The 21,693-nt window shown below is 50.5% G+C and overlaps 2 protein-coding genes across 17 annotated transcripts in view, besides 7 other annotated features; one reads left to right on the top strand and one right to left on the bottom strand.

Moving 5' to 3' along the window:
* Nucleotides 1-10,109, bottom strand: part of CATSPERD (catsper channel auxiliary subunit delta) — a 58,098-nt gene extending 47,989 nt beyond the window's left edge. For 10 of the 11 annotated variants that reach the window (XM_011527885.4, NM_152784.4, XM_011527887.4 and 7 more), the window contains exons 1-4: nt 9,938-10,109; nt 5,884-5,938; nt 3,402-3,478; nt 802-874 (exon numbers count right to left, since the gene is read on the bottom strand). In XM_011527885.4, coding sequence (XP_011526187.1) covers nt 802-874; nt 3,402-3,478; nt 5,884-5,938; nt 9,938-10,008 — 276 coding nt within the window. In that variant the 5' untranslated portion in view covers nt 10,009-10,109. The remainder of the gene's footprint in view (nt 1-801; nt 875-3,401; nt 3,479-5,883; nt 5,939-9,937) is intronic. The other variant, XM_017026565.2, reaches the window with a different exon arrangement.
* The window catches only part of LONP1 (lon peptidase 1, mitochondrial), a 28,619-nt gene continuing 17,219 nt past the window's right edge, over nt 10,294-21,693 (top strand). For 3 of the 6 annotated variants that reach the window (NM_004793.4, XM_047439719.1, XM_011528441.4), the window contains exons 1-4: nt 10,600-11,042; nt 16,475-16,563; nt 17,493-17,612; nt 18,744-18,975. In NM_004793.4, the coding sequence (NP_004784.2) occupies nt 10,614-11,042; nt 16,475-16,563; nt 17,493-17,612; nt 18,744-18,975 (870 nt within the window). In that variant the 5' untranslated portion in view covers nt 10,600-10,613. Of the gene's footprint in view, nt 10,528-10,599; nt 11,043-16,474; nt 16,564-17,492; nt 17,613-18,743; nt 18,976-21,693 lie in introns of those variants that run through there. The other 3 variants (NR_076392.2, NM_001276479.2, NM_001276480.1) reach the window with 3 other exon arrangements.
* Nucleotides 10,351-10,450: an enhancer, noted in NCBI's record as "active region_13815". NCBI's record gives its function as "activates an Ori minimal core promoter by ATAC-STARR-seq in GM12878 lymphoblastoid cells {active_cell/tissue: GM12878}" and the evidence as "EXISTENCE:reporter gene assay evidence [ECO:0000049][PMID:35858748]".
* Nucleotides 10,351-10,919: a biological region, named in NCBI's record as "NANOG-H3K27ac-H3K4me1 hESC enhancer GRCh37_chr19:5719838-5720354".
* Nucleotides 10,403-10,919: an enhancer, noted in NCBI's record as "NANOG-H3K27ac-H3K4me1 hESC enhancer chr19:5719838-5720354 (GRCh37/hg19 assembly coordinates)". NCBI's record gives its function as "activates a minimal SCP1, AML or CMV promoter by ChIP-STARR-seq in primed H9 embryonic stem cells {active_cell/tissue: H9 hESC(primed)}" and the evidence as "EXISTENCE:reporter gene assay evidence [ECO:0000049][PMID:30033119]".
* Nucleotides 10,731-10,780: a silencer, noted in NCBI's record as "silent region_9932". NCBI's record gives its function as "represses an Ori minimal core promoter by ATAC-STARR-seq in GM12878 lymphoblastoid cells {active_cell/tissue: GM12878}" and the evidence as "EXISTENCE:reporter gene assay evidence [ECO:0000049][PMID:35858748]".
* Nucleotides 10,911-10,990: a silencer, noted in NCBI's record as "silent region_9931". NCBI's record gives its function as "represses an Ori minimal core promoter by ATAC-STARR-seq in GM12878 lymphoblastoid cells {active_cell/tissue: GM12878}" and the evidence as "EXISTENCE:reporter gene assay evidence [ECO:0000049][PMID:35858748]".
* Nucleotides 11,953-12,468: an enhancer, noted in NCBI's record as "H3K27ac-H3K4me1 hESC enhancer chr19:5718289-5718804 (GRCh37/hg19 assembly coordinates)". NCBI's record gives its function as "activates a minimal SCP1, AML or CMV promoter by ChIP-STARR-seq in primed H9 embryonic stem cells {active_cell/tissue: H9 hESC(primed)}" and the evidence as "EXISTENCE:reporter gene assay evidence [ECO:0000049][PMID:30033119]".
* Nucleotides 12,469-12,985: an enhancer, noted in NCBI's record as "H3K4me1 hESC enhancer chr19:5717772-5718288 (GRCh37/hg19 assembly coordinates)". NCBI's record gives its function as "activates a minimal SCP1, AML or CMV promoter by ChIP-STARR-seq in primed H9 embryonic stem cells {active_cell/tissue: H9 hESC(primed)}" and the evidence as "EXISTENCE:reporter gene assay evidence [ECO:0000049][PMID:30033119]".

Raw genomic sequence — 21,693 nt, 5'->3', positions numbered from 1 at the left:
CCACCGTGCCCAGCCGCCCAGGCTGGTGGTATTGAACTCCTGGACTCAAGTGAGCCTCCTGTCTTGGCCAATCAATGTGCAGGGATTACAGGCATCAGCCACTGTACCTGACTGAGGGAGTCTTGAAATTACTGCATGTAAAGTAAGATACCATCCCACCTATCTATTATTTATTTATTTATTTTATTTTATTATTATTTTTTAAGACAGAGTCTCCCTCTGTTGCCCAGGCTGGAGTGCAGTGCCTCGATCTCAGGCCACTACAACCTCCACCTCCTGGGTTCGAGTGATTCTCCTGCCTCAGCCTCCCAAGTAGCTGGGACTACAGGCCCGTGCCACCACGCCCGGGTAATTTTTGTATTTTTAGTAGAGACGGGGTTTCACCATGTTGGCCAGGATGGTCTCAGTCTCTTGACCTTGTGATCTGCCCGCCTCAGCCTCCCAAAGTGCTGGGATTACAGGTGTGAGCCACTTACCTGACCAAGGGAGGTCTTGAAATTACTGCATATAAAGTAAGATACCATCCCATCTATCTATTTATAATATAACCAATGTAAGGAAGAGGACCTACATCCACTCTTTTTTTCTTTTTCAGGAATAGAAAGTCTATTTTGGTAGTAGGGGCAGAATAAAACCAGCCCTTCTTTAGGCTTAGAAATTGCCCTTAATGTCTTGAAGAGGTACATTGTAAAATAAACCTCTAAACTAATAAAAACAGACCAGTCTGATATTTCTGAACTGTATTTTCCCCCAAATATTACTTATACTAGCATCCTTCAGATCACTCAGTAAAATAACTACCTGCATTGATGTAGGGATGGTAAATGGAAGGAGACTAGTCTCAAAGTTATCCATTGTGAAAAAAACTTGTTTCCTGAAATAAACAATAAATAAGTTAAATTAGGATAATGTCACACAAGGAAAGAAAAAAGACAATAGAGGTACTCTAAAATGTCTCCATTCAAACAAAATTTGTATTGTAACCAGGAGTCATTTAGATATAATTTACTTATTTTGCATAAATAAACCTCTACAGTCCAGGTGTTTGACTTCCAGAAATAATAGTTTAAATGTGTGAATACATCAAATATAAAACTATATAAAATGTACATTGAGTGGCAGGATGGACTTCAGTTTTATAATTTATATGGCTCTAGTTCCACTAACGTAAATAGTTTTAGACCAGGAATGTGTATATAAGAAATAAACAATTTGTTCCTTCATATGGGAAACTTTTAAATAGGAAAAGGCCATCCATGAACATGGTATATCATTTCATTATCCAGATCTCCTTCCCCAACTCCCCAGTAAATTTTATGGTTTTCAACAGAAAAGAATTACTGAGTTGGCCAGGTGTGATGGCTCATGCCTGTAATCCCAGCACTTTGGAAGCCAAGGCAGGCAGATCACCTGAGGTCAAGAGTTCGAGACCAGCCTGGCCAACATGTTGAAACCCCATCTCTACTAAAAACACACATAAAAATTAGCCTGGCATGGTGGTGCACACCTGTAATCCCAGCTACTTGGGAGGCTGAGGCAGGAGAATCGCCTGAACCTGGGAGGCAGAGGTTGCAGTGAGCCAAGATCATGCCACTGCACGCCAGCCTGGGCGACAAGAGTGAAACATTGTCTCAAAAAAAAAAAGATTTACTGAGTTAATTCCTATTCCTTTTAAAGTTTTTGTTGCCATCATGAATGGCATTTCTCATAATAGCCTTTAAAAAAGAGAGAGAGAGAGAGATGGATGGCCAGGTGTGGTGGCTCATGCCTGTAATCCCAGCACTTTGGGAGACCCAGGTGGGTGGATCACCTGAGGTCAGGAGTTCGAGACCAGCCTGGCCAGCATGGTAAAAACTCTGTCTTTACTAAAAATACAAAAATTAGTCAGGCGTGGTGGTGCACACCTGTAGTCCCAGCTACTTAGGAGGCTGAGGCAGAAGAATTGCTGGAACCCAGGAGGCGGAGGTTGCAGTGAGCCGAGATTGCGCCACTGCATTGCAGCCTGGGTGACAGAACAAGACTCTGTCTCAAAAAAAAAAAGAGAGAGAGAGAGAGAGATGGGTCTTGCTATGTTATCCAGGCTGGTTTTCAACTCCTGGGCTCAAGTGATCCTCCTGCCTCAGCCTCCCAGCCATAATTATGTTTTATAATTGGTCATGGCTGATTTATAAAAGAGCTGTTGATGACAGAGACGGTCTCTGTCATCCAGACATCCAGACGGGGTACAATGGTGTGCTCATGGCTCACTGTACCCCCTCGAACTCCTGTGCTCAAGTAAACCTCCTACCTCAGCCTCCCAAGTAGCTGGGACTACAGGTGCACACTGCCACCCCCAGCTAATTTTCTTTTTCTTTCTTTTCTTTTCTTTTTCTTTTTTTTTTTTTTTTTTGAGACAGAGTCTCGCTCTGTCGCCAGGCTGGAGTGCAGTGGTGCGATCTCAGCTCACTGCAACCTCCGACTCCTGGGTTCAAGTGATTCTCCTGCCTCAGCCTCCCGAGTAGCTGGGACTACAGGCGGGCGCCATCACGCCCAGCTAATTTTTGTATTTTTAGTAGAGACGGGGTTTCACCATGTTGGCCAGGCTGGTCTCAATCTCTTGACCTCGTGATCCCCCCACCTCGGCCTCCCAAAGTGCTGGGATTACAGAGGTTAGCCACTGCGCCTGGCCCACCCCCAGCTAATTTTCTGTATTTTTTTTTTTTTTTTTGTAGATACTGGGATCTTGCTATATTCCCAGGCTGGTCTTGAATTCCTAGCTTCCAGCGATCCTCCAGCGATCCTCCTGCCTTGGCCTCCCAAAGTGCTGGTACTATAGGCATGAGTCACTGCACCTGGCCTCCAGTCCCCTTTTTGATGCTGCCAGACTGATGTCTTGAATACAAACAGGAGTCATGCAGCCCCACATCCTCCACTACCCTCAGGGTGAGGGTAAGCATCCTGGCATGGTGGACATACCTGGTTTCCTAACCTGCTACCCTTACGAACTCACGTGCATGCTAAGCATGGTGTTTTTATTCCTTTGAATGCTCTGCTCTAAGCCCATACACATCTGGTTGCTCCCACCATCCCAGTGAACTCCTATTCATCCTTCAAAACCCAGTTTTGTCATCAACTCCCCAGTGGAAACTTCCTAGGCATTTTTTCCTGAGGCATCCCAACAGTGCTTATACCAAGCATCTTTGACAGGTGGTACCACACTATACTGCAGTTGTTTTAGTTACTGGCTGATCTCTTCATTTCCCTTCCTCCAATTCCAGCCCCTGACTATGGACTCCCTACAGGCCAGCAACTAGCAACACACGGCAGAGCCATCTTCTTTACTGTTTGTTGAACGAATGAATGGGGCAAATCTAAAGATTTAATTTAAAAGGAAGGTAACAGTACATAAAATTGCCACTTACCCTAGATATAGTGCTATATTTTTCTCGCAAGGATGTTTAATCAAGCGTGTTGTTGTAGGATGAAAATACAGGCGGTCCTAGAGAGATAATCACAAAATCTTAATAATATCAATAACCATAAACAGCTGATAGAAATAATTTTTTTTTTTGAGACAAGAGTCTCGCTCTGTTGCCCAGGCTGGAGTGCAGTTGCACAATCTTGGCTCACTGCAAGCTCCGCCTCCCAGGTTCACACCATTCTCCTGCCTCAGCCTCCCGAGTAGCTGGGACTACAGGCGCCCGCCACCATGCCCGGCTGGTTTTTTCTATTTTTTTTGTAGAGACAGGGTTTCACCATGTTAGCCAGGATGGTCTCGATCTCCTGACCTTGTGATCCACCTGCCTTGGCCTCCCAAAGTGCTGGGATTACAGGCGTGAGCCACCACGTCCGGCCAGAAATAATTTTTAATACGCACTATTATCAACATAAAGGGTGAAATCTGAATTAGGTAGGTGGAATGTACCAATGTCATTTTCCTGTTTTGACCTCGTACTATGATCATGTCAGATGTGACTGCTGGGGGAAGCTGGCAGAAGGGCTTGGGACCTCCCTGTACTGTTTTTGCAACTTGCTGTAAATCTATAATTATGTCCAAATAAACAGTTTTTTTAATTCACAGGGTGGGCCAGGTGCGGTGGCTCACGTCTGTAATCCCAACACTTTGGGAGGCTGAGGCAGGAGGATTTCTTGAGGCCAGGAGTTCGAGACCAGCCTAAGCAGCATAGCAAGACCACATCTCTACAAAAAACATAAAAATTGGCTGGGCATGGTAGTGCATGCCTGTAGTCCCAACTACTGGGGAGCCTGAGGCAGAAGGATGGCTTGAGCCCAGGAGTTTTAGACTGCAGTGAGCTATGATCTCAGCACTGCACTACATCCTGGGCAATAAAGAGATACACTGTCCCTAAAAGAAATGATAATTTAAAAATTAAAAAAATTCAGGCCAAACACAGTGGCTCACCCCTGTAATCCCAGCACTTTGGGAGGCCGAGGTGGGCAGATCATGAGGTCAGGAGGGAGTTTGAGACCAGCAGGGCCAACATGGTGAAACCCCGTCTCTACTAAAAATACAAAAATTAGGTGGGTGTGGTGGCGCACGCCTGTAATCCCAGCTACTTGGGAGGCTGAGGCAGGAGAATGGCTTAAACCCAGGAGAAGGAGGTTGCAGTGAGCCAAGATTGTGCCACGGCACTCCAGCCTGGGTGACAGAGCAAGACTCCATCTCAGGAAAAAAAAAAAAAAAATTAACAGGGTAATTATTCATATCACATCTCATACCTATTCATGTTACTATTTGTTTACAGATGATTAGTTATTTGAAAGTCCAGAGAATGATGAATATTAACATGTTAGAAACCAGTCACTTGAAGATTGTTTCAAAATGCTGACACCATTTTGAAATTATGCATCTTTTTTGGCTCTGTCGCCCCAGGCTGGAGTGCAGTGGCACGATCTTGGTTCACTGTAACCTCTGCCTCCTGGGTTCAAGCAGTTCTCCTGACTCAGCCTCCCGATAGCTGGGATTACAGGCATGCGCCACCGTACCTGGCTAATTTCTGTATTTCTAGTAGAGACGGGGTTTCACCATATTGGCCAGGCTGGTCTTGAACTCCTGACCTCAGGGATCCGCCCGCCTCGGCCTCCCAAAGTGCTGGGATTACAGGCATAAGCCACCTCACCTGGCCAAAATTATGCAATTTTGTCAATAGGAAACGAATTTGAACTGACAGAATATTTTTTCTTCATGCATTTTAAGCATGAAGTAAACTGACATTTCCTGTGACATTACATGAGGTAAACAAAGTAACAGGGTTTGCTTCTACTGTTACTATGCATTTTAAAATCTCCCATCAAGGCTGGGCACGGTGGTGAACGTCTGTAATCCCAGCACTTTGGGAGGCTGAGGCAGGTAGGTTACTTAAGTCCAGGAGCTCGAGACCAGCCTGGGCAACATGGCAAAACCTCATCTCTACAAAAATACAAAAATTAGCTGCGCATGGTGGCACACACCTATAATCCCAGCTACTAGGGAGGGTGAGGCATGAGAATCGCTTGAGCTGGGGAGGCAGAGGTTGCGGTGAGCCGAGATTGCGCCACTGCACTCCAACCTGGGCAACAGTGCAAGACCCTGTCTCAAAAAATAAAATCTCCTATCTGAGAGAGAAGTAAACAGAACACTCGATAAAAACTCAGACCATCTTAGTTCTATTCCCACTTCTTCCTCTTGGCGTTGTTCAGATGACTTGATCTCTCTAAACTTGTTTCTCAGTGAAATGGGAAAGATTAATCCCTATTTCAAAGGGGAAAGAACTGTAAAGACTGAATAAAGTAATGATCTTAAATGCTTGACAACACGGGCACCCAAGAAATACCAGGAAGTGTTACCTCTGATCCTGTACTTAGACAAAAGTGAAGGATGAATTTAAGCATGGAGCCACATACCCCTTGAACGTCCTGTATCAGATTAAACACTTTTCCTGTCCTCACTGTGCGAGAACTAGAAGTGACAAGAAAGACCATCTGTCAATTTTTATTGAATATTCAGCATGAATCCTCCTACTCAGCCAACTCAGGGTTAACCCTAAAGTATCTGTTCTTTTTTGGGGGGGACGGAGTCTCACTCTGTCGCCCAGGCTGGAGTGCAGTGGCAAGATCTTGGCTCACTGCAACCTCCGCCTCCCAGATTCAAGTGTTTCTCCTGCCTCAGCCGCCAGAGTAGCTGGGATTACAGGCGCGCGCCACAACACCTAGCTAATTTTTTATATTTTTAGTAGAGATAGGGTTTCACCACATTGGCCAGGCTGGTCCTGAACTCCTGACCTCGTGATCTGCCTGCCTTGGCCTCCCGAAGTGTTGGGATTACAGGCGTGAGCCACTGCGCCCAGCCAAGTATCTGTTCCTGATGCTTTTCGGGTTATAGGAGGCCCTAGAAAATTGGATGAGGCTGGGCGTGGTGGCTTATGTCTTTAATCCCAGCACTTTGGGAGGCCGAGGCAGGTGGATCACTTGAGGTCAGCAGTTCAAGACCAACCTGGCCAACTTGGTGAAACCCCATCTCTACTGAAAATACGAAAATTAGAGCCAGGTGCGGTGGCTCACACCTGTAATCCCAGCGCTTTGGGAGGTCAAGGTGGGTGGATCAGCTGAGGTCAGGAGTTCGAGATCAGCCTGGCCAACATCGTGAAATCTCGTCTCTACTAAAAATACAAAAAAGTTAGGCACGGTGGCTCACACCTGTAATCCCAGCACTTTGGGAGGCCAAAGCGGGTGGATCACCTGAGGTTGGGACTTCGAGACCAGCCTGAGCAACACGGAGAAACCCTGTCTCTACTAAATATACAAAATTAGCCTGTAATATACAAAATTAGCGTGTGGTGGCGCATGCCTGTAATCCCAGCTACTCAGGAGGCTGAGGCAGGAGAATCGCTTGAACCCGGGAGGCGGAGGTTATGGTGAGCTGAGATTGCACCATTGCACTCCAGCCCGGGCAACAAGAGTGAAACTCCATCTCAAAAAAAAAAACAAAAACAAAACAAAACAGGCTAGGTGTGGTGGCTCACGCCTGTTAATCCCAGCACTTTAGGAGGCCGAGGCGGGTGGATCACGAAGTCAGGAGATCGAGACCATCCTGGCTAACACGGTGAAACCCCGTCTCTACTAAAAACACAAAAAAATTAGCCGGGCGTGGTTGCGGCACCTGTAGTCCCAGCTACTCGGGAGGCTGAGGCAGGAGAATGGTGTGAACCCAGAAGGCAGAGCTTGCAGTGAGCCGAGATGGCGCCATTGCACTCCAGCCTGGGCAACAGAGCGAGACTCCGTCTCAAAAAAAAAAAAAAAAAAAAAAAATTAGCTGGGCAGGGTGGCGGGCGCCTGTTATCCCAGATACTCAGGAGGCTGAGGGCTGAGGCACTAGAATCGCTTGAACCTTGGAGGCAGAGGTTGCAGTGAGTTGAGCTCTTGCCACACTGCACTCCAGCCTGGGCGACAGAGCAAGCCTCCGTCAAAAAATAAAATTTGTATGAAACTCCTCTCCCAGAAACAGACATAAGTACACACAAAATGTAGAAATGATTTCTGAAAATTTCTTTTTTCTTTTTCTTTTTCTTTTTTTTTTTTTTGAGACAGAATCTCGCTCCGTCGCCCAGGCTGGAGTGCAGTGGCGCGATCTCAGCTCACTGCAAGCTCCACCTCCCGGGTTCACGCCATTCTCCTGCCTCAGCCTCCCGAGTAGCTGGGACTACAAGCGCCCGCCACCACACCGACTAATTTTTTGTATTTTTGGTAGAGACGAGGTTTCACCGTGTTAGCCAGGATGGTCTCGATCTCCTGACCTCGTGATCCGCCCGCCTCCACCTCCCAAAGTGCTGGGATTACAGGCGTGAGCCCCCGCGCCCGGCCAAGAATTTCTAAAGGCTCCTTCACAGACCCCAGCTGAGGAAAATTATGAAGTCCTGCAACAAGGTATTCGGGGCTCCTTAAGGGAGTGTGTGGTGACTGGAAGGATGGTATAGTTTACAGCAGAGGTGCTCAATCTTGAATATGCATCAGAATCACCGGGGTTGCGGGGGGGGGGGTCTTGATAAACCACCGTTTGCTGGGTCCCACTGCCAAGTCCCCGACTCAGTAGGTCCAGGGAACTGCATTTCTAACCAATTATAATAAATTCCAGGTGATCTTGATGCTGCTGGTCCAGGGACCATTCTTTGAGAGCCTGTGTGGGGAAATGAGAGAACTGGATATAACCCACATTTTCAGAACTCGAGACAAATCCTATTAGTAAATTTCACTGGAAAATGTTTCTCCCACTTACTAGGTATGTGTTGTTAGGCAAGTGTGTCTTTAACTTTCCTAAGTATGCTTTCGTATCTATAAAATAAGGGTGTTGGCCGGGCGCGGTGGCACACGCCTGTAAGCCCAGCACGTTGGGAGGCCGAGGCAAGTGAATCACGAGGTCAGGAGTTCGAGACCAACCTGGGCAACATGGTGGAACCCTGTCTCTACTAAAAACACAAAAAATTAGCTGCACGTGGTGGCAGGCGCCCATAATCCCAACTACTCTGGAGGCTGAGGCAGGAGAATTGCTTGAACTTGGGAGGCGGAGGTTGCAGTGAGCCGAGACCGTGACATTGTACTCCAGCCTGGGCGACGAGAACAAGACTCCATCTCAAAAAAATAAAATAAGGGTATGGCTGGGCATGGGTGGCTCATGCCTGTAATCCCAACACTTTGGGAGGCTGAGGCAGGAGGATCACTGGAGCCTAGGAGTTCAAGACCAGCCTGGGCAAAACAGTGAGACCCCATCTCTTTTTTTTTTTTTTTCCTTTGAGACAGAGTCTCCCTTTGTCACCCAGGCTGGAGTGCGATCTCAGCTCACTGCAACCTCCACCTCCTGAATTCAAGCGATTTTTCTGCCTCAGCCTCCCAAGTAGCTGGGATTACAGGCACCTGCCACCAAGCCTGGCTAATTTTTGTATTTTTAGTAGAGACGAGGTTTCATCATGTTGGCCAGGCTGGTCTGGAACTCTTGACCTCAAGTGAGTGATCTGCCCACCTCTACCTCTCAAAGTGTTGGGATTACAGGCGTGAGCCACTGCACCCAGCCAGTGAGACCCCATCTGTACAAAAAATAATAATAAATAAAATAAAATAAGGTTAAGGAATCATTATGAATCTTCCTGTAAACATCAAATGAGGCCATACACCCTAAGAATACAGCTCACAGGTCCCTACTGAATGTGACAGTTTAGTCCAGATGGGAGTTCCCTGAGGGCAGGAACGGAGTTTCAGCAACTGGTCCCCATGGCAGGTTGGAGTATGCACTAACCTAACATTTACTGAAATTTCAAAATGTGCTGGGTAAGGCTGGGCGCGGTGGCTCACGCCTGCAATCCCAGCACTTTGGGAGGCGGGGGTTGCAGTGAGCAGAGATCGCGCCACTGCACTCCACCCTGGGAAACAGAGCAAAAACTCCGGCTCCAAAAAGAAAAAGAAGTGGGAGGGCTAGGCCCGGCGTGGTGGCTCACGCCTGTAATCCCAGCACTTTGGGAGGCCGAGGCAGGCGGGTCACGAGGTCAGGAGATCGGGACCATCCTGGCTAATACGGTGAAACCCCCGTCTTTACTAAAAATACAAAAAAAAATTAGCCGGGCGTGGTGGCAGGCGCCTGTAGTCCCAGCTACTCAGGAGGCTGAGGCAGGAGAATGGCGTGAATCCGGGAGGCGGAGCTTGCAGTGAGCCGAGATCGCGCCACTGCACTGCAGCCTGGGCGACAGAGCGAGACTCCGTCTCAAAAAAAAAAAAAAAAAGAGGTAGGAGAGCTTAATATCGGGCTGGGAGGATGGGGTGGAGTAGGGTGAGCGAGGCGTCAAGTTCGATTCCTAAAAAGAGTAAAAGGGGAGCCTCAGTGAGGTTGGGGAGCAGGCCTCGGCTCCAAGATGAACCAGCACCCTCCCGACCCCCGGCAGCACCCCAGCCCCAGGAGTCCTGGCAGCCCCACCGACAGAGCTGAGCTGTGACCAGCGGTCGGAGCCACATGGTCACAGCCGCCACCAGCATCAACATCAGCATCGACTTGGGCTTCCGCCGCCACCACTGCCCCTCAACCGCCACGGGGAGTCGCTGCACAATCCGAGTACGTGCAGGCTGAAGCCCTGCGCATGCGCATCAATGAGTCCCGGGAGCGGGCCTCCGCGCACTGCAGCCCGGCGCTCCGCCTGAATCTTGAGCATGCGCAGACGAATCCCGGGAAGCCCGAATCCGCGCACCCCAAAGTGCGCTCAGAGCCTGAGTATGCGCACCCGGCCACCCGTGGCCAGTCTAGAGTCTGAGCATGCGCATGTTGTCCGCGCGCCTAAGCATGTGCACAGGCTGCTCATGAGTTCCTAAACGTTGCGTTTGCAACACTACCAGTGTTTTGTACGGGCGCTGGCGCCTGCTCACAGCCTTCCACGTGACCGGAAAAGGCCTTCAGCGCATAAAGTGGGAGACCGGAAGAGGCGGAGACGATCCGATGCTCGAACTCCGCCCCCTCTTCTCCGCGTAGGCCCAGCTCCCTGAAGCGGCTGTTTCGAGCCACGCGCCCATCGGGTACCGAGGCACGCGCCGGGCGTCACGTGCGTTTCGCGGCGAGCGGAAATGACGCGAGTTGTGTGAGCCGCCAGTATGGCCGGGCTATGGCGGCGAGCACTGGCTACGTGCGACTGTGGGGAGCGGCGCGGTGCTGGGTGCTGCGGCGGCCGATGCTGGCCGCCGCCGGGGGGCGGGTTCCCACTGCAGCAGGAGCGTGGTTGCTCCGAGGCCAGCGGACCTGCGACGCCTCTCCTCCTTGGGCACTGTGGGGCCGAGGCCCGGCAATTGGGGGCCAATGGCGGGGGTTTTGGGAAGCGAGCAGCCGCGGCGGAGGCGCATTCTCGGGGGGCGAGGACGCCTCCGAGGGCGGCGCGGAGGAAGGAGCCGGCGGCGCGGGGGGCAGCGCGGGCGCCGGGGAAGGCCCGGTCATAACGGCGCTCACGCCCATGACGATCCCCGATGTGTTTCCGCACCTGCCGCTCATCGCCATCACCCGCAACCCGGTGTTCCCGCGCTTTATCAAGATTATCGAGGTAATGGGAGTCCCCGCCTCGGCCTCAGGTTTCCCACCTGTGCAAGCAGCGGGCTGAACCGTGGGATCACTTGAGCGCCCTTGTGTTTCGCAACTTTTTCAGACATGAAGTTTCTCGAAGGGTGCAGTTCGAATCCTTGTCTGCTCACCACTAGCTTGGGAACCTTGAGCCAAAGTCCTCTCCCTTTCGGATTTCTTAGGATCCGTTAGATGAGAGGAGTTGAACCCGATGAGCCTAGGATTATCCACTTTAGAACGCCGGTCATAGAAATCCGGGGCCGGGAGGGACCTGAGTAGTGTTACGGCGCTGTTAGTTTTCTCCTTACTTGGCACGAGTTTTGTAATACCTCCTCGCCCCAGGCGCTCTGCCGTCTGGTTACGAGCCTCACTGGGATCAGAATTCATTCCTTTCTTAGACAAATACTTCTTGATTGCTTATTATTTGCCAGAGAGTGTTCTAGGTTCTGGGGATATGGCAGTGAACAAAACAGACAAAAATTTCTGCCTTTGAAGCTGGGCATGGTGGCGCGCGCTGTACTCCCAGCTACTCTGGCGGCTGAGGTGGAAGGATTGTTGGAAACCTGGAGTCCAGCCTGGTCAACATGGCGAGACCCTGTCTCTTAAAAAATAAATCTGCCTTGGAGCTTACATTTTGGCAGGATGAGACAGGCAATAAAGATGTTTAGTAACGATATTGTATTAGAAGGCAATAATTACGAGAAATAGTAGAGCATGGATGGGACAGGAGGCTTAGGAGGGTGGGAAGAGGTGGGTTATTCAGTGTGTTCTTGACCTCCTACCACGTAGCAAGTTCTGAGAATACTGTAGAGAACAAGTCATTCCGGTGGTAGAAATTAGATCATTTCAGACTAAGAGCCTTGGGGGTGGGGAGGGAGCAGGATGATGTAATAGAGAGAAAGCAGTGAGTGTAAGGAACTTGAGCTTTTACAGTAGGAAGGCCCCAAAAGCCTTCTCCCCCAGCTCCCCTTCCCTTAAAAAAAAAAACTACTGATGTGGAAAGTGGCATCTATGGGAAGGTTATCTCCTAACTGGCAGAGCAAGGTCACGCAGTGAGTCAGCCTCTGCGCTCACTCTCCAGACTCTTCTAAACAAATCTCAAGGATCTGTTGGGAAGGGAAAGGCCATTTCAGAGGGGCAGCAGCCAGTAGAGAGGGGACAGAGGGAGCTTCTCCAACGCTGCTCCAAGATTTTTTTTTTTTTTTTTTTGAGACCAAGTTGCACTCTGTCATCTAGGCTAAAGTGCAGTGGCGCGATTTCAGCTCACTGCAACCTCTGCCTCCCGGGTTCAAGTGATTCTCCTGCCTCAGCCCCCTGAGTAGCTGGGATTACAGGCGCCCGCCACCGTGGCTGGCTAATTTTTCTATTTTTAGAAGAGACAGGGTTTCACCATGTTGCCCACGCTCGTCTCGAACTCCTGACCTCAAGTGATTCACCCGCCTCAGCCTCCCAAAGTGCTGGGATTGCAGGTGCGAGTCACTGCGCCCGGCCCCAAGGCCTTTCCTTGATGTTGAGTACTGGTTACTGATGCAGGCCCCCAGAGCAAGACCTTGTGGGGTCCTATCCTAGCTCCATAACCTTCAGCAAGTTATTCCTTTGGCTTCCCTCTTCTCATCTGTGACCTGGACATATTAGTGTCTTATTAGAGTTGTTGTGGGATTTAAATGAGGCCATGTGGGCTGGGCACGGTGTCTCACATGTTTAATCCCAGCACTTTGGGAGGCTGAGGCAGGAGCATAATTTGAAACCAGTATGGTCAACATAGACCCTGTCTCTACAAAAAAAAAAAAAAAAAGAAAGAAAGAAAAGCCGGGCACAGTGGCATGCACCTGTCTTCCCAGCTACTTGGAAGGCTGAGGCAGGAGGATCACTTGAAACTGGGAGATCAAGGCTGCAGTGAGCCATGGTGTCACCACTGCACTGCAGCCTGGGCAACAGAATGAGGCCCTGCCTCAGCAATAACGTGATGCTGTTTCCTCTTTGGTGTACTTCTGACATTTCAGGACTCTGCCCCGGAGGCCTTTTTCCCATCCTTGACTTCACCCCTGGCAGTTCTCTTTACCCTCCCAGGTTTCTGGGCCCAGGATGGTGTTCATCAGGCCTGGTCCCCTCCGTTCTGCAGAGCGACAGATGCCCCTTGCTCCCGGTGCCTGAGCAGAGAGATGATTCTTCTAAGAGAGTTCAGACGGCCCACGTGGAGCTAGCCAGGAGAGTTAAATGAGTGGCTGCAGATAGTATTTGGGAGACTGGCAGGTGGTTCTCATTGTATTTCTGGTTGATGATGCATTGTAAATCATAAAAATGGATCCTGCCAAGGCCAGGAGGCAGATGCCAAGGATGCAGCTATCAGCTGTTGGCAGAGGGGAAATTGGGAGGCAACTTCTTTGGGACCCAATAAATGTTTCTGAAATTGTTAGCAAAGCTTGATTTACTCTTCAGTTTGTACTTGACTTGTCTGGCCAACTTGCTCTAGAAGCTTCTCTCCTATTAGCAACTTTTGAGTAAGGAACAATGGCTCTTAATTTTTGGTGGGTATTAAAGAATAAATCATAAGTGTTAGAAGTATTAGTTTCTTTTAAAAACTAACTTCGTGGGCTGGGCGCGGTGGCTCACGCCTGCAATCCCAGCACTTTGGGAGGCTGAGGTGGGCGGATCACGAGGTCAGGAGATCGAGACCATACTGGCTAACAAGGTGAAACCCCGTCTCTACTAAAAATACAAAAAAATTAGCCTGGAGTGGTGGTGGGCGCCCGTAGTCCCAGCTACTCGGGAGGCTGAGGCAGGAGAATGGTGTGAACCCAGGAGGCGGAGCTTGCAGTGAGCTGAGATCGCTCCACTGCGCTCTAGCCTGGGCGACAGAGCAAGACTCTGTCTTAAAAAAAAATTGCTTCCCTCCTTTGTTCAGGTGTGCTCTGCTCTCGCCATTGTTCCATCTGCGAGGAGCACCCTTTCTTCAGAAAGTAAAATTGTCTTGCTAAGAAAACTTTTTGTCCAAATGCTAATTTTTCCTTACAGTACAGAGGTACAAGCGTTCTGTCTCTAAACAAACATTTTACTTATAACAGTGGGTCACACACCCTCCTGTCAGATGTTACTGACTTTTTTTTTTCTGGGAACAGAAAAAAAAAAAATTATGTATCTATAGTGTCAGGAATTTCTGGACCACAAGTTAAGAGCCTGTGTTAGGGAGTGAGTCAAAACACTGGCTCTCAAAGGATGGTTGTGGACCAGCAGCATCGGCATCATGTGATGCTCTTTTGTTTGAAATGCAGATTTTTGGACCCACCCTAGAACTGAATCAAAAACTCCAAGGGTGGGGCCCAGCAGTGAGCTGCTTAAAGTCCTTCAGGTCATCCTGGTGCCTGCAAAAGTTTGAGGGCCATTACTATATATATATATATATATATATATATATATATATATATATGTATATTTTAACTTTATTATATAATAAAGAATTAAAAACTTCAAAAAGAAAATAGAGATGGGGTCTCACTGTGTTACCCAGGCTGGTCTCAAACTCCTGGGCTCAAGCGATCCTCCCACCTCAGCCCCGCAAAGTGCTGGGATTACAGGCATGAGCTACCATTACCAGGCTAGCCAGGCCATTACCTTTAATCAGGGTCTGTCCAGTGAATTAACAAAGGCTTGAAAGAAATCAGGTGAGCTCCTTGCGCCTTCAAATGCTTCTTAGAAGACATCATTAGCCCTGAACCTGCCGTTGAGAATGTGCTGTGATCCTGGGGGTCTTGATCATTAATGAACAGCATATGATGTGATAAGGAAGTAACTGTCAATGAAAATTGGAGGAACCAGGCATGGTGGCTCATGGCGAAACTCCGTCTCTACTAATAATACAAAAATTAGCGAGTGCAGTGGCGTGTGCTTGTAACCCCAGCTATGTGGTAGGATGAGTTGGAAGAATCGCTTGAACCTGGGAGGTGGAGGTTGCAGTGAGCCGAGATTGCACCAGTGCACTCCAGCCTGGGTGGCAGAGTGAAACTTTCTTTTTTTTTTTTTTTTTTTTTTTTTTTTTTTTTTTTATGAGACAGAGTCTCACTCTGTCGCCCAGGCTGGAGTGCAGTGGCGTGATCTTGGCTCACTGCATGCTCCGCCTCCCGGGTTCACGCCATTCTCCTGCCTCAGCCTCCCGAGTAGCTGGGACTACAGGTGCCCGCCACCACGCCCGGCTAATTTTTGTATTTTTAGTAGAGACGGGGTTTCACCGTGTTAGCCAGGATGGTCTCGATCTCCTGACCTTGTGATCTGCCCGCCTCGGCCTCCCAAAGTGCTGGGATTACAGGCGTGAGCCACCGCGCCCAGCCTGAAACTTTATTAAAAAAAAAAAAAAAAGGAAGTTATCAATCTCTGGAGTGGGTCACATTTAAATTACTTATGTTTATTCTGACATTAATAAAAGCAGAATGGTTTTGATTTTCAAACCAAGACAGTTTGCCCTGGACATCCCCTTTGAAGCTGGATGTTAAATCAATTTCTGGGTTCTGACCATTCGTCTACTTTGAATTTCCTTTGGGAGTGGGGAAACCGCTAAGAAGAATCCAGCTGGTCAGTTCTGCTCACTGTATTCACCACCACAGCCTCCTGGCCTCCAGCACTTTTTTTTTTTTTTTTTTTTTTTTGTTTAGGCGTTCCCAAACCATGTTGATTAGTATCCAGGATGCGGATCAGCATGTCCCCAGAGAATAATCTACACAGCGTTAGAGCGGCTCTGCTGTCAAAAAATGTCAGCTACAAAAGCTACCCTGGGAGGCCGGGCGTGGTAGTTTACGCCTATAATCCCAGCACTTTGGGAGGCTGAGGTGGGTGGATCACGAGGTCAGGAGTTAAAGACCATCCTGGCCAAGATGGTGAAACCCCATCTCTACTAAAAATACAAAACAATCAGCCGGACCTGGTGGCGGGCGCCTGTAATCCCAGCTACTCAGGAGGCTGAGGCAGAGAATTGCTTGATCCCGGGAGGCGGAGGTTGCAGTGAGCTGAGATCATGCCACTGCACTCCAGCCTGGGTGACAGAGCGAGACTCCGTCTCAGAAAAAAAAAAAAAAAAGAAAAGCTACCCTGTGCTGCGTTTGGTGGCTCACGCCTATAATCCCGGCATTTTGGGAGGCTGAGGTGGGTGGATCACCTGAGGTCAGGAGTTCGAGACCAACCTGGCCAATATGGTGAAACCCCATCTCTACTAAAAATAAAAAAATTAGCCAGGTGTGGTGGTGCATGCCTGTAATCCCAGCTACTCAGGAGGCTGAGGCAGGAGAATCCCTTGAACTCAGTGGGGGTGGAGGTTGCAGTGAGCTGAGATCACGCCATTACATTCCAGCCAGGGCAACAGAATGAGACTCTGTCTCAAAAAAAAAATCTACTCTGCATTTCACTTTGGGGTCATTGTCATGCTAGGTTAAAAATAAGAAGTTGGTTGAGCTGCTGAGAAGGAAAGTTCGTCTCGCCCAGCCTTATGTCGGCGTCTTTCTAAAGAGAGATGACAGGTAAGTGTGATTTTTCCTTCATTCCCTTGTTGACGGTGCCCTAGAGTCCAGCTCACCACAAGTCCTACTCTGTACTTTGCACCTTTGACCCCTGACCCCGAGGAAACCAGGGAAGACCTCCAGAATAAAGGCCAGAAGCCACGCAGGCTACCTTTTCAGCCTGGGCTGAGAACTCAGCTTGTAGTACTAAACTTCATGCATTGTTAAGATACGGGGGAAATTAACTTCAGGGACTCTTAGTGATGAAATGCTCCATGAGGCTACCTGAAAGTCGAGCTAGCTGCTCGGAGATGTGGCTCCATGTAGAAATGAGTTCCATGGGCCGGGCGTGGGGTCGCACACCTGTAATCCCAGCACTTTGGGAGGCTGAGGCATGTGGATCACCTGAGGTCAGGAGTTCCAAAGCAGTCTGGCTGACATGATGAAACCTCGTCTTTACTAAAAATACAAAACATTAGCCAGGCGTGGTGGCAGGTACCTGTAATCCCAGCTACTCAGGAGGCTGAGGAAGGAGAATCGGTTGAACCTAGTAAGTGGAGGTTGCAGTGAGCTGAGATTACACCATTGCTCTCCAGCCTGGGCAACAAGAGCGAAACTCCATCTCAAGAAAAAAAGAGTTCCATGCATGCATTCGAAGCAGGCTCTGTGATAGCATAGAAGAGACTCATCAAAGTCCCACCTGGACCATGTCTTTGTGGCTGACTTAGCGAGGAGCCACCCACCCGGTCCTGTGACCACTGGGGCAGCCCTGGCCTGGCAGAAGCTCCCCTAGGCTCTGGAGCTCCTGCGGGAGCCAAGGAGGCCGCTCTTGGTTTTCAGTAGCATTTGGTAGGGGCGTTTCTTTTCTCTCCCTCCTCCATCTCAGCCAGAGACATCCTGCCTAGCATGAAAGCCATGTTCCAACATTCCTCTGTGCTCTTCTCCCACAGCAATGAGTCGGATGTGGTCGAGAGCCTGGATGAAATCTACCACACGGGGACGTTTGCCCAGATCCATGAGATGCAGGACCTTGGGGACAAGCTGCGCATGATCGTCATGGGACACAGAAGGTGGGTGGCTGGCGGGGGACAGTGGGAGGTGGGGGCAGAGTACCACGCGGGAGACCAGCCAGGATGCCTTATGCCCCAGCATCAGCCTCTGCCCTGTCCGTCAGCCCAGCGGCTTTCTCACTAGCACTGAGGCCAGAGCTGGGGGTGAGAGTGAGACATGTCACCTCTGGACCCCTCCTGTCTCAGAAAGGGGTGAGCTGCAGGGCCAGGCATGGTGACTCCTGCCTGGAATTCCAGCACTTTGGGATGTCAAGGCAATTGGATCGCTTGAGCCCGGAGTTTGAGTCCAGCCTGGGCAACGTAGCGAGATCCCATCTCTGCAAAAAATGTAGAAAAATTAGCTGGATGTGGTGGCTCATGCCTGTGGTCACAGCTACGCAAGAGGCTGAGGTGGGAGGATCGCTTAAGCCCAGGAGTTTGAGACCAGCCTGGGCAACACAGCAAGACCCTGTTTCTATAAAAAATAATAAAAAGTTAGATGTGACGGCGTGTTCCTGTAGTCCCAGCTACTTGGGAGGCTGAGGCAGGAGGATTGCTTGAGCCCAGGAGGTAAAGGCTGCAGTGAGCTATGATCACACCACTGCACTCCAGCCTGGGCAACAGAGCGAGACCCTGAGTTCAGGTGGTGCCAGGTGCTCTGAGGGGAGACGCAGACAGCGTGAGAGGTGGAGGTGGGTAGCTTTTGTGAAGTGCTTGGGGACAGTCTTTGCGATGGTGTCCTTGAAATCGAGACCTGAACAACAGGAAGGAGCTGCTATGAGCTGAGTCCAGGGCACAGAGTCTTGGAGACCAGCCTGTGCCCGGCCAGGCTGACACCGTTTTCGACAGGAGGCCCTGGGGCTTGTCACTGCAGCTTATCCACGATACTTAGGATGGGGACAGTGATGCATTGGCGTGGGATGCAGGGAATGCCTGAATCTGGCTGGAGTCTAAGGGGTGGAGGGGACACTGGTTGGGAGGCCCCGAGAAAGCGGCTCACGTCTCCAGCTTGAGGACCCTGTAGCCACCCTGTGGCTCCAGAGGTCTGGGCTCAGCGGGACCCTTGGACCACCTGTGCCACCAGGGAGGCCTCAGCCGGGTCCAGCTCCCAGCCTCAGCGGCTGATTCACACCTGCCTTGCTCCCGTGTCAGAGTCCATATCAGCAGACAGCTGGAGGTGGAGCCCGAGGAGCCGGAGGCGGAGAACAAGCACAAGCCCCGCAGGAAGTCAAAGCGGGGCAAGAAGGAGGCGGAGGACGAGCTGAGCGCCAGGCACCCGGCGGAGCTGGCGATGGAGCCCACCCCTGAGCTCCCGGCTGAGGTGCTCATGGTGGAGGTAGAGAACGTTGTCCACGAGGACTTCCAGGTCACGGAGGAGGTGAAAGTGAGTCCGTGCGTCACGCAGGGCGGCCACAGCTGCCTCCCCCACGGGCTCCCTTGAGCCGTTCCTGCGGCCTCTCCGAAGAGTCATCTCCCACCCTGAGCCCCTTAGGAAGGGTCTGGCCTGTCTGGAACTCAATTCTAATGGAACATAGAGGGTGCTTTTCCTCCCAGAGGTCTTCGGAAGACTCTGGGATGGGAGAGGCACAGGAAATTCGCTGGAGCCTGTAGCTGCTCAGGAAGGAGACAGGGTTGGAACCCAGGTCCAGCCCCAGCCCGTGTCCCCTGTGCCAAAGCCTCCAGCGGTTACCAAGACACCTTCCAGCCCTGGCTTCTTCCCACCAAGCCTGGGAGGTTGGTACCAGTGGTTGCAGGACAGGAAACAGCCTGTTGGCCACCCTGATCCCCCAACCTAGGCCGTCCTGCCTGCCTGGTGGCACAAGGAGTCAGCTTCCGAGGTGGGCAGGCTCTTGGCGGTGCCACCTGCCCTCCCGCTGTAGGGACAGTCAGCGAAGCTAACCAAAGGCCTGAAGCGTGTCAGCTCCTTACCTGTGTGCCTGGTGTCATCAGCCTCTTCCCCAGGCTGCTGCAGGGCCTAGGGGGAAGTGCTGTGAGCAACTGGTGATGTCTGCTGTGGGCGCTGGCAGGGGTGGAAAGTCCTGTCCACAGGCCCACCTGGGTTCTTGAGGTCAGCACTTCTATCCTGCCCCACTACCCCTGCGAGGTTTTTTTTTTTCTTTCTTTTTTTGAGACAGAGTCTGGCTCTGTCAACCCAGGCTGGAGTGCAATGGAACGATCTCAGCTCACTGCAATTTCCACCTCCCAGGTTCAAGTGATTCTCATGCCTCAGCCTCCCAAGTAACTGGGATTGCAGGCACGTGCCACCACACACGGCTAATTTTTGTATTTTTAGTAGAGACGAGGTTTTACCATGTTGGCCGGGCTAGTCTCAAACTCCTGACCTCGGGTGATCCGCCCACCTCAGCCTCCCAAAATGCTGGGATTATAGTCGTGAGCCACTGTGCCCGGCCACCTGTGAGTATTGAGCACTTGAAGTAGAGCTGCTGTGGCCAAGGAACAGAATGGAACATTTTATTGGCTGGGTACAGTGTCTCATGCCTGTCATCCCAACACTTTTGGAGGCCAAGGAAGGAGGATCACTTGAGCCCTGGAGTTCAAAACCAGCCTGGGCAATATTGAGACCCCTGTCTCCACAAAAAAAATAAAATCCCTGGGCATGGTCGCACACACCAGTGGTCTAACCTGTGGGAGGATCGCTTGAGCCCAGGAGATTGAGGCTGCAGTGAGCTGTGATCGCATCACTGCACTCCAGCCTGGGCAACAGAGTGAGACCCTGTATCTAAAAATTAAAATAAAAAAATTCAGGCCGGGCACGGTGGGCTCACGCCTGTAATCCCAGCACTTTGGGAGGCCGAGGTGGGCGGATCACCTGAGGTCAGGAGTTTGAGACCAGCCTGACCAACATGGAGAAACCCCGTGTCTACTAAAAATACAAAAAAAAATTAGCCAGGTGTGGTGGCTTATGCCTGTAATCCCAGCTACTCGGGATTACTGAGGCGGGAGAATTGCTTGAACCTGGGAGGCAGAGGTTGCGGTGAGCCGAGATTGCACTATTGCATTCCAGCCTGGGCAACAAGAGCAAAACTCTGTCTCAAAAAAAAAAAAAAAAAATTCAGACAGCCACCAGCGGCTACACTGTCCTGGGCAGCTCAGCATTGGGGCATTCCCTGTGAGAATCTTGCAACAGGGGGAAGACAGCGACCAAACTTACAAATGTGATTAGAACTGGCAAGACCCCTTAGGGGCAGCGAACTTGTTCTTTTTTTTTTTTTTTTTTTTTTTTTTTGAGATGGAGCCTCTGTCGCCCAGGCTGGAGTGCAGTGGCGTGATCTCGGCTCACCGCAAGCTCCACCTCCCGGGTTCACACCATTCTCCTGCCTCAGCCTCCCCAGTAGCTGGGACTACAGGTGCCCGCCACCACACCCGGCTAATTTTTTGTGTATTTTTTAGTAGAGACGGGGTTTCACCGTGTTAGCCAGGATGGTCTGGATCTCCTGACCTCGTGATCCGCCCGCCTTAGCATCCCAAAGTGCTGGGGTTACAGGCGTGAGCCACTGTGCCCAGCTGAACTTATTCTTAAAGCAAGTGCCCCGGACCTCCAGTGGGCCTGTTCTGGTGCCTTCTACCAGGGTCAGCTCAGACAGTTCAGCGTCAAAGCCAAAGACTAGAGACCAGGTGATTACGGTTTCTTTGGAGACAGAGTCTCACCCTGTCACTCAGACTGGAGTGCACTGGCGCAATCTTGGCTCATGGCAACCTCCGCCTCCTGGGTTCAAGTGATTCTCCTGCCTCGGCCTCCTTAGTAGCTGGGATTACAGTCACCCACCAAAGTACCTGGCTAATTTTTTTTTTTTTTTTGGTATTTTTAGTGGAGATGGGGTTTCACCGTGTTGGCCAGGCTGGTCTTGAGCTCCTGGCCTCAAGTGACCCACCTAACTCTGCCTCCCAAAGTGTTGGTGTTACAGGTGTGAGCCACCGCGCCCGGCCAAGACCAGGTGATTAAAATTTGGTTGTAGGCAGGTGCAGTTGCTTATGCCCGTGGTCCCAGCTACTCCGGAAAATGAGCGGGGAGGATCGCTTGAGCCCAAGAATTCAAGGCTGCAGTGAGTCATGATTGCAGCCCTGCACGCCAGCCTGGGTG

Source organism: Homo sapiens, chromosome 19, assembly GCF_000001405.40.
Source record: "Homo sapiens chromosome 19, GRCh38.p14 Primary Assembly".
In the NCBI taxonomy this organism is placed as follows: domain Eukaryota; kingdom Metazoa; phylum Chordata; class Mammalia; order Primates; family Hominidae; genus Homo; species Homo sapiens.
The sequence above is the reverse complement of the archived record's forward strand: the minus strand, read 5'-3'. Positions and strand labels throughout refer to the sequence as shown.